This window comes from Homo sapiens, chromosome 5 (assembly GCF_000001405.40).
Source record: "Homo sapiens chromosome 5, GRCh38.p14 Primary Assembly".
Taxonomy (NCBI): Eukaryota; Metazoa; Chordata; class Mammalia; order Primates; family Hominidae; genus Homo; species Homo sapiens.
In genome coordinates, this window is record NC_000005.10 from 175772114 (window position 1) to 175782976 (window position 10863).

The 10863-nt window shown below is 45.8% G+C and overlaps 1 long non-coding RNA gene across 1 annotated transcript, besides 1 other annotated feature; it reads right to left on the reverse strand.

Moving 5' to 3' along the window:
- Positions 959-1745: an enhancer, noted in NCBI's record as "H3K27ac-H3K4me1 hESC enhancer chr5:175200075-175200861 (GRCh37/hg19 assembly coordinates)". NCBI's record gives its function as "activates a minimal SCP1, AML or CMV promoter by ChIP-STARR-seq in naive H9 embryonic stem cells {active_cell/tissue: H9 hESC(naive)}" and the evidence as "EXISTENCE:reporter gene assay evidence [ECO:0000049][PMID:30033119]".
- LOC124901140 (uncharacterized) lies at positions 3370-10265 on the reverse strand. The gene is made up of 2 exons (XR_007059065.1): positions 9782-10265; positions 3370-3731 (listed from the first exon to the last, which is right to left on the reverse strand). It is a non-coding gene; the product is annotated as an uncharacterized LOC124901140 (long non-coding RNA).
- Between the last annotated feature and the right edge of the window lie 598 nt (positions 10266-10863).

The window sequence follows — 10863 nt, forward strand, 5'->3', positions numbered from 1 at the left end:
GTTCCCCTCTCCTCCTTAGAGGTCAAAGGTGAGGCTGAAAGTTCCCACCCTCTACTGACAGCGTTGGTTCCCTGGAAACCAGCCCTCATCCTGAGGCTGTCCAGGAGCCCACCAAGAGTTGCCTCAATAGAACAAAAGATGCTCCTATTACCCAGAAAATTCCAAGGGATTAGGAGCTCTGTGTCAGGAACTGGGATCAAAGACCAAATATCAGAACCAAAGATCCTCCTATCACCCCTGTCCACGAGGATTTCAGGAGCTCTATGTCAGGAATAGGGGGGCAGAGACACAATATCACTTTCACCCAATCTTCATAACCAGTCTGAAGCAGGAGTATTATCATGAAAAAAGAGACACTCATAATGGTTAGGTCACTTGCTCCAGGACACAGTTAGGAAGTGACAAGGCCAGGACTCATCAGTACCACTGGCCTCCAGAGTTTGCAGTTCTGATAACACAAAGATGTGGCTAAATGACTCCAGGACCCCACGGTCCAGCTCCGCCAGCAGGGGTTCCCTCCCGGGCCTCTCCTCTCCCAAGGGCCTATCCATGCCCTCTAGGCCCTGCGTGGACTTAGTCCTGGTCACAGTGGGCACAGCTTCGGCACACTTCCCTCCGAGGCCACACCCCACCCCGCCCCTCCACCCTAGAATCGGAGGACGCTGGGGTTGCAAGTGGGAGGCCCAGGGAGGCGCCAAGCCCCTCCCGCTCCAAGCCGACGCGCCCTGTTTTATGCCTTGAGTAGGCGGGAGCCTTGCAGGTCTGTGGGTTTCTTTCTCAAAGGAAAATTGCTGGGCTCGTGAGGAACAGCCTCGGGCACTTGCTCTACTTGGAAAGGGTGAAGAGCGCGGGCTTTGGAACCCTAGGCGCGCCCGCAATCCCAGCTCTGGGTGTGGCGCGGGACACCTCCTGCTGAGGGCTGGTAAACCCAGACTTCTCTGCGTCCTTGCTGCACGCGAGGAGCAAATGGAACAGCACAAGCTGCCCGCAGCCCGCACCATCGCTCCCTCGTGAGACCTGGTTCACCTTCTCGCAGTTTCCCAAACACTCCTGCAGATCCATGTGATTTGCCCATCTCTGTGAGGATTGCCAGTCTTTCTTCCCATTTGGCAAATTAGGAAATCGAAGCCCTTCAGAGCCCTGTCGAGGTCATGCGCGGCAGGGCAGAGGCAGAGCTGGGTCGAAACCCGGGCAGTCTCCGCCGCTCCCGGCCCCGCTTCCCCCGCGCCGTGGGCTCCGCGGGGTGGCTTTGTTGGGGCAGCAGCAGGCAGGATTTATTTCCGGCGTTGTTTATGCGCAGCACGTCTGGAACAGGGCCCTTGGTGATTAAAACGCCTCGGGACAGAAAAGCCGAACTGAAACATTGGTGAAAATACAAAAAGGAAAACAAAACAGCGGCATCGACAGGGACATCTCCAGGCGGACGCGCAGGAGCGCCGCTAAGGACAGCACCTGGTCCCGAGGCTTGGGGGTAGCTGCTTCACCTTGGGCCTGACCACCTCCTGGATTCCAGTCACCCTGGGACCAAGCCAATCATCATCATTATTAACAGCAGCAGCAGCATCCCTTGCCATTTGGGGGTCAGGCACACCTGGCTTACACCCCAGGTCTGCCAGTTCTGGCTGTGTGACCTTGGACAGGTGAATTAACCTCTCTGAGCTGCAGCGTACTGGGCCCTGCTTCCCAGGGTCTTTGGCGAATATGTGGAATGACGCATGGGAAGCTACAGGCTAAAGGTCTGGCACATTGCAGCCGCAATAAACAATAGATGTCTGTTCTTTTACATTCTAAAAAGTCCTTTTATATACATTTTAGAGCAGAGCAAGCAGGCAGGCTCTGGAGCTGGCGGCGGCAATGCAGCTCAGCTCCTACTCTGTGTTACTAGAGAGAAAGCCATATAACCCTTTAAAGCCTGGATTTCCACATCTATAATAAATGAGGTTAACAACCCCTACCTCCTATGGTTGTGTGAGGTTTTATTAGGAGGTTACACATAAGGGGCTTATCATAGTACGTGTCACAGAACAAGCACTCTGCAACCGTTATGAATAATTTTCACCCTCCTGAGACAGGAATAATACAGGGTAGTCGCAGGAAAATAGAAAATTTCAGGCACACACCCACCAGCATCTTGACAGTTCCAAGACCACCCATATTTAGTGTAAAAATGGGTGGCACCACAGTTCTGAGAAATCTCCACCTTTTTCCAGGAATCTTCAAGAATATTCCACCCCTTAGGCAAATATATCCATAAACGTAGCAGCCCCAAACCCCCTTGCTTGACTTTCTTTGAATACCCCTGCACTCCCCTTCCTTGAGCGTGTAGTTTTTGCTTTGCAGTAAATCTCCCTACTTTCACTATTTCCTGACTCATCCTTGAATTCCTTCTCCCGGTGGTGTCAAGAGCCTGGACTCTAGCCAGGGTTGAGGTCCCACCAGCATTTGGGGAGCTGGGCCAGCTCACCAGTATCATTCCCAACTTGTCTATTTTATAGTCAAGATAAGTGTCTTTGCCCCCATGTTATACATGGTGGAAGTAAGGCTCTGGGAAGCGCAGTGGCTTGACTAAGGTCACACTACCAGGAAAGGGCAGAACAGGAACTTCTGCACTGGGCTCCCAGTTCTAAGTCAGCGCCCCTTCCGTTACAGGGGCCCCAAGGTTGTGCATTCAAAATGGCCTGGCAGCCTTGTCAGCTCTGCCCAACAGAATGGACTGAAAGACACCCAGAGAAAAAGGCCCAGGCCACAGCTTCAGACTGATCTGGTTTCAAATCCTCTTCTAGCTGTGTGACGTTGGCCAGAATACTCAGCCTCTCTGGGCTTCAGTCTCTTATCTTTAACTCAGTGGGAGTTAGTCCTACTCCTCAGGGTCAATGTGAACAGGAAATGAGGATGGGTGTAGACATGCCCAGCATTGTGCCAAAAACCCAGCAGGTACTCAGGAAAGATTGTCTCCCTCCCCGGCCCCCATCAGTGCATCTGTTGTCATCTCTCTTGGGGCTTCTAGCTCCAGCTTCATTCCCAGCCAGAGGGACCTGAGTGACTGACAGGCCCTGACATTCCAGCTCACAGACCAGCTGCATCTCCACCAGCCTGCCTCAGTCTCCCAGGTATCTGCCACAGCAGCATCCTATCACCTGGGCTCCGAGAGCTAATGAGGCTCCGAGACCTAATGAGGCCACCAAGGGAGTAAGGACAGGCCCATCCAGATGCTCCAGATCCTGCCTTTCTCTCTTCCCCCTTGTCCTTCTCTGTCCCCCATCCTTTTCCAAACTCTGCCTCCTTCACTCTCCTTCCCCTCAGCCTCCCTGAAACTTTCAAGGAAGCAGCCGATGGCCTCTGACAATGATCCAAAAATTACGACCAACGTCAAAAAAGTACAAGATGATTTATTCATGCTTCCAACTCTTAGCGCATTCTTATACTTATCAAGGGGCACTGCGAAGACAAAGTTGAACAAGACACAGTCCAGCCTTGGGGAATCTCAGAAAAAAATGATGCATCAGCAGAAATGTACAACCCAATGGGATGCACATATTAAATAAGAATTCTGACAGCTGCCATTTATTCAGCACTTTATATGTGTTCTGGCTTACGGTTGCAGCTCAGGTTCAGGGAGTTCACGGGTCTTATCCAAAGTCACACAGCCAGGAAGGGATAGTGTTGAGATTCAAACCCAAGTCTGTCTGATCTCAAAACTTGGGCTCCTTTTGTTTCATCAAGGCTTGCCTCTATTGGGAATATCCAAACATAGAGAAAAATAATAATTACCATGCAATGTGAAACCCGACATGAAAGTACAAACTACAGAGTGAATGATCTGGGGAAGGATTCTCATGAACTGGATATTAAAAGATGGTGGTCATATATGCATATATCCAAGTCTATGTCTATGCCTGTATTTCTACATCTATGTATTTATGCCTACATGTCTGTCTATATCTACCTCTACAGCTATCTATAACCTGGTCCCCCATCTCCCAGGATCCCTGAACAAAACTGTCACTCCACTCTTCCCTCCGAATGATAATATAATTGAGTTGGCCAGGCACAAGGGCTCACACCAGTAATCTCAGGTCAAGGAGGGAGAATTGCTTGCATCCAGGAGGTCGAGACCAGCCTCAGCAGCATAGTGAGATCCTGTCTCTACAAAAAATGAAAAATTATCTGGGCATGGTGGCACAAGACTGTAGTCCCAGCTACTCAAGAGGCTGAGGTGGGAGGATCACATAAGCTGGGGAGTTGAGGCTGCATTGAGCCATAATCATACCACTGCACTCAGCATGGGTGACACTCCGTAGCCCCCAAATATATATATATATATATATATATATATATATATATATATATTTGAGTTTACACAGTTGGGGTCCAGATTTGACTGGTAATCAAAAAAGTCCATTATAGTAGGAAATAATTTAATTAATGAACTACATACTGCTAAACATCTTACTTCAACTTAAAGTATATAAATATGCATGTATTGACATAATTTTAGATGAAGGCCTCTGAGGCCTCTCAGAATAGCTCTGTTGATCGGATTCTGCATTCCGGTTTTTCTATAAACCATAGCCATAATACAATTAACACTCATGCTTCAGGCATCATTAAAGTAGAACAGAAAATGTCATTTGAGTGCAGAATCATGGACAGTGTTTTTTTGTTTTTTTTTTTTTACCCTAACACTTTGCAGGTCTCTAACCCACACATATTTGTACAGATTTTTTTTTAGCAACTAACATTTATGGGGTCTTTTCAAATCATTCAAGTTAGTGCTCAAAGAAAACAGAACTTTTTTCTGATGTATTACAGACATTGAACTCACTATTGTCATTATGTTATTTAGTTAAACATGATGTAAACTGACAAAGTATGGGCACAAAAAAGAATGGTTGCCCCTGTGAACGCTAAACTGAATGCTTTAGAAGACTGTACAGAGATGAATTGTTGCAGGGTAGCAAATACAACTGATTCCTGCTAAGCAGCAAGTTGACTGACGAAAACAGAAAAACATGGGTCATCTCAACGGGAGAGCAGTCTAATGGCCTTGGGGCTCCGCCTGCCACCAACATCAGGCAATAGGATTGCAGGTGAAAAGTCACTGATCCAGCAAGACAGTTAAGTGGAGGTCAAGTGGACAATTTCCACTGTATCTACTTTATATTTCTGATCCCAGCAACGTCCAGGTAGAGTGGAACCCTGTCCACACTCTGGCCCACTCCTCATCCCGCTTCTTGTTCTCCCAAGAGGAGGAATGCAGTTCTAACGAGCGAGATCCCACGACACTGAACACATGGTTTTTTTCTAGTGGAAAGGGTCAACCCTCCCTTCTTCACCTCACTCTTCACAACACTCACCTCTTGTCTTCTGCCTCATACTGGTAACAAAAAGTTATAAGGGCCTGTGCTTTGAGGGAGTGGCAAAATAAGAGGGTGTGGTAGATGAGGCTAGGGAAGGGGGCATGTCAGTCTACGGACATTGGACTAAGGCATTCAAACTTTACCCTATAGGCAATGAGGAATAACTGAGATCGAATCTGTGCGAAAGAAAGATCACTCATGCAATTGATGCGGACAATAAATCGGAGGAGAATGGAGGCAGGAAGGCCAGTGAGGAGCCTGCTGCATTCACCAGGGAAAGAGACGATGACGCCTAAACTGATACAGGAAGCTGAGGTGAGGATGGGGGTCCGCATAGCACCAGACCTAACAATGGGTTAGACATGAGGAATAAAAAGGAAAAAGTCTCCGAGAATGCCCAGGCTTCTGTCTTGGCTAACTGGCTTCAGCCAGTAAAATCAGGAAGACAGGAATGGGAGTGGGGTTGGAGTCAGAAAGATGAAGGCTTCTGCATTGGCCATTTAAGCTTGTGTTTCCTGTGAGCCATGCAGAAGGAGAAAGCCAGGAGCCGAAATACATTCAAACCTGGACTGGAAGAAACAGCTCTTCTAGCTGCTTGAATCAAGTGAAAACTACCAACTGCCTTGAGGATTTCTCTTTTCTTAAGACAGGGTCTCTGTCTGTCTCCCAGGCTGGAGTGCAGTTGTATAATCATGGCTCACTGAATCCTCAGCTCAAGTAATTTTCCCACCTCAGCCTCCCAAGCAGCTGGAACTACAGGCATGCGCCACCATGCCTGGCTGATTTTTTAATCTTTTTGTAGAGATGAGGTCCCACTTTGGTGCCTAGGCTAATCTTGAACTCCTGAGCTTAAGGGATCCTCCCTCCTTGGCCTTCCAAAGTGCTGGGATTAGAACTGAGGACTTCTGATTGCTGTTGTTCCACTCAATACTTGGCAGCAGAACAGGTAGAGTGGAAAAAGCCATGCTTTTGAGGTCATCCAATTCTGGGTGGAAATTCCTAGTTCTGCAGATATGCATTATTTGTGGCTTTGGATATGTGATTTAATGTCCCTGTGCCTCTGTTTCTTCATCTATATATAAAACAAATAATGACACATTCTTCATAGGCTATAATGAGAATCAAATGCAGTCATAAATATAAAGCATCCAGCTAGTGTCTGACACATAACAGGTGTTCTGCAAATGGTGCTAACTAGTAGTTAGTAGTGGTATTTTATTTGTATTCTATAGAACGTCATCTATTAATTCATTAATTTTATAAAAATCAAATAATTGTATTTCTGGAGTGGAGAATCTGGTAATTCAAAGGGATCTGATAAACAGATATTTGCTTATCTCAATTCAACAAGACTTTTCTGGGCTCCTCTGGGTGTGACAGGCCCTTGGAATTTAGAAGCCTCCAGGTTTTTCCATGCTTCCCCCTGCAAACACACACACACACATTTAAGCAAACAATCACCATCACCAAAGGGGGTTCCCTCCAATTGTGTAGGCGCTCTCAAGAGCTGAGTTAAACAGACATTCCACGCTGGGCCCTGGGCACATAAAGAGAAGCCGTGCCAAACCTTGGCTCTGGAGGCTTGGAGCCTAGTGCTGGGCATCAGTGAGTCTTGAATGAGCTTTTTCTCCAGAAACCAGTGTCCACCCCCGCCTTAGGCTCCCTGCCCAGAGCACAAGGCTGCCAGCCCATCTGTGTCCTTGAGAACATGCTGGGCTCCTGACCCAGGCAGCAGCTGGTCCACTACCTGCTGCCCCCGACCTGGCACCTATCCAATTCTGAGACAGCACAGGGAGATAGAATCTGAGAGCTGGAAAGGAACATGGAACTCATCCAGGGCATGGAATGTGCAACTCACTGGGCCCAGAGCCAGAAAAGGGTTGGATTTTTATTGCGCTTGGCCCTTTACCAGCTGTGTGGGTTGAAGCAGTCACTTTTCACTCAGCCTCAGTTTTCTTATCTGTAAAAGGGGAATAATAAATGTCTACCTCATGGGATTATCGTAAGGATTGTAAATGACAGATACCCATCTAATGGCATGTTAAGCAAAAAACTAAACTAAACTAAAAATCAATGAAGTGGGTATTTATTGGTCCAAAGTGTTACTGAAAAGTTTAAGGGCAGATATAATTTCAGACACACCTGAAACTACATGTTCAAACATCATCAGAAATCTCTCTCTCTCTCTCTGTCTCAGTTGGCTCCATTTTCTTATAAGCCTTCGAATATTGTTTGGACATTTGCCCCCCACCACCCAATCTCATGTTGAAATTTGATTCCTAAAGTTTGAGGTGGGGCCTAGTGGCAGGTGTTTAGGTCATTAGGGTAGACCCCCATGAATGGCTCAGTGTCATCCCCATGATAATGAATGAGTTCTTACTCTATTAGTTCACATGAGAGCTTGGTGCTTAAAAGAGCCTGGCACCTTTCCCCTCTCTCTCTTGCTTCCTCCTCTCTCACCACGTGACGTGCCTGCTCTCCCTTCATCTTCCACCATGATTAGAAGCTTCCCGAGGCCCTCATCAGAAGCAGATGCTGGTGCCATGCTTCTTGTACAGCCTGAAGAACTGTGAGTCAAATAAACCTCTTTCTTTTAAATTACTCAGCCTCAGATATTCCTTTATAGCAACACAAAATGGACTAAGACACCTTCCCTTCAGGGTGACAAACTGGCCTCCAGCAGCACTAAGCTTTCTCTAATGGAGAAAGAGTGCTTCTCTCCCAATAGTCTTAAGACTGGCCCTCATTAGCTCTGATTGGATCACTTTTGGTTATATATTCACTCCTCCACTTATCACTGTGCCCAGGGAGATATCATATTACCCTTGGCCAACATTGGGTCATATGTCCATGTCTAGAATCCTGAGTTCCAAATTGGCTCTACTCTACCCAGATAATGGACTGATAGCGGAGAAAGGAGTATTCAAAGAAAATCAAGATGCTCTTATAGATTAAAGGGGGAACGGATACTGGGCATGGCAAGACAGCAGACATCATGTCAAGAAAGCAGACATCAATAAACATGTGTAGGGGTTAATTTTCAACCAATGCTATTATCTTCATCAATGTCATCATCATTATTATCATTGTTATAATAATTAACATCATTATCACCATCATCATCACAGGCGAATAATACATTGTAACTGTATGTTCCTGTTATCTACTGCTTCCCATGCAGCCTCTTCTACATCCATTCTTTACCTAGAAGAGTAGTCTGTTGGCACTCAAGCAGGGTTTCTAAGAGCCTGAGGCTCCCCTTCTTGTCTTCCCCCTAAAACTGTCCAGCCCTGCATCCATCCTTTCTCTGTGTTCTGAGATGGATCTACTCCAGGCATGGTCTCTGCTCTCCCCAGCATCAGGCTCCAACCTTTACTCTCCTCTTCTCCTCATAGCTGTGGCCTCCTGACCACCACTCTTTGCAGACCCAGTTCTGCTCCAATCATGGACAAAAGCAGGAGGGTTGAAAGAACACCAGCCCCATTCTCTAAGGCTCATCACACACTGTACCACACTTCTGGTCCCGAAATTGGAACCTTTTCTCATCACTAGAATGTATCCTTGGCCCTATATGGGTACCCATATTGAGTATGCATTAACACACTTTTGGTTGAAAATAACAGAGAACCTAATTTAAACTGACTAAAAAATAAAAGGAATTCATTGGCTGATGGGCATAAAACCTCAGAAGTAGTTCAGTTCAGGTAAAGCTAGATCCAGCAGCAGCTCAATGACATCACCAAGGATCTGATTTCTTTCTCTCTGTTAGCTCTGTATTCTTCAGGGTTGCCCTCATCTTAAGGCTATTTCCTTAGTATTCCCAAGATAGTTTCAAGTGCATTCTAAGGCTATATGTTTCCAATTTTCTATCCCGGCGGAAAGAATAGCTCTTTATACTAGAATTCCTAGCATAATTTGAACAGATTCACTCTTACTAGACCAGCTTAGGTCCCACCTTTGGTTGGTTCAAGAGAACCATGGTGGGGTTAATTCCAAATAAACCACATGTTGTAAAACGGGGAAGAGATAGTTCCAAGGAAATGTGGGATCCTATTACATTAAAGAAAGGGGGAAGATTCCTGGCCAACAGTCAAAAGATGTCCATTATCAGAATTTTGAAGGAATTATGCTCAAATTGTACCTGGAAGTGAGCCAAAATTTGTCTGGATTCTCAGAGATATTCAGCTCTCTCTTTTTACCTAACCTCTCTTTTGGAATTGGGAGGTGATTCATTGAAATTATTCAGCTTGAGTCTGGGTAAGGAGTATATTGGAGTTCTTTGTACTATTCTTGCAAATTTTCTGTAAGCCTGAAACTATTTCCAATTAAAATAACTTGTTAAAGTAATATGGTAGTGCATAATCACCATTTTCCCCCCTTAACCATAGGTAAGATACATGTAATATTGATATTTGCCTCACCTTTGCTTCAGGAGTGATGGAAGAATTTCAGGGGAGAATTCACCCAACTTGACTGGGATACCGGGAGCACGGATCTGGAAAGAAACTTTTGAGCTTTAGGTGGCTGAGTGTGCATAAAGTAACACACATACCAAAGTCTTCCAAACAAAGATTAAGGGATGGAACCTCTCAAATAAACTCCTCCAAATTGGGAACAAATGTTGCGGTATCAGGATCACATCTCCTGTCCCAGTTACCCCATTGCTCAACATGGGATGTGGGTTGTCAGGGTGAAGTTCTTTTAGCAATTATCTTTGTTTGCTTCATTATGTAAGGAGGAGAAATAACTTACCTGTTTAGGTAACTGGCCTTTAAATTAAGGGCAATAGTACTCAAAGAACTGTACCCAATGCACTGCACCAGAGGAGCCTCATCCACAGCTAAACCTGATTTAGATGACAAGACTCTAGACCTTGAGCCTGCTCCTAACGACATAATAGATGGGACTTGGGGGAAGCATTAGTAGAAGTGAGTATATTTTGCATATGGGAAAAACATAAATAACATGGCCAGATGGTGAACTGTAGTTATTTTAAAACATGGTCCCCCATTCTTTTACATCCTTCTCATAGAGAAGTAGAATCCATTTCCCTTGAATCAGTGATGCTGACAAATAGAGTAGGGAAAAAGACACTATTTGATTTTTTTTGTGTGTTACTTCATATACTTATTCATTCGTGACAAGAACACTTAAAAATCTACTCTCTTAGCAATTATCCAGTATACAATTCATTATTCCTAACTATAGTCACTATGTTGTACAGTAGATCTCTCGAGCTCACCCTTTTGTTCATTATTTGACCTTTGGGGCTGGATAAGAAAGAGCCATGTGACTCAGCCTGGTTTCCTTGAAATGCTCATTCTTGGGATCCAGACAAGGGGAAGGATGTCCAGCCTGTGGAGAGGTCCACAGGGAGAGGCTTAAGCTAGAGAGAAACAAGGGCACCCTCCCTTCTCAGCTCCTACTGGGCTCCCAACTGAGAGTCAACACCTACTTGCCCACCATGCAAGTGAGCAATTCTGCAAGTGGGCCCTCTAGTCCT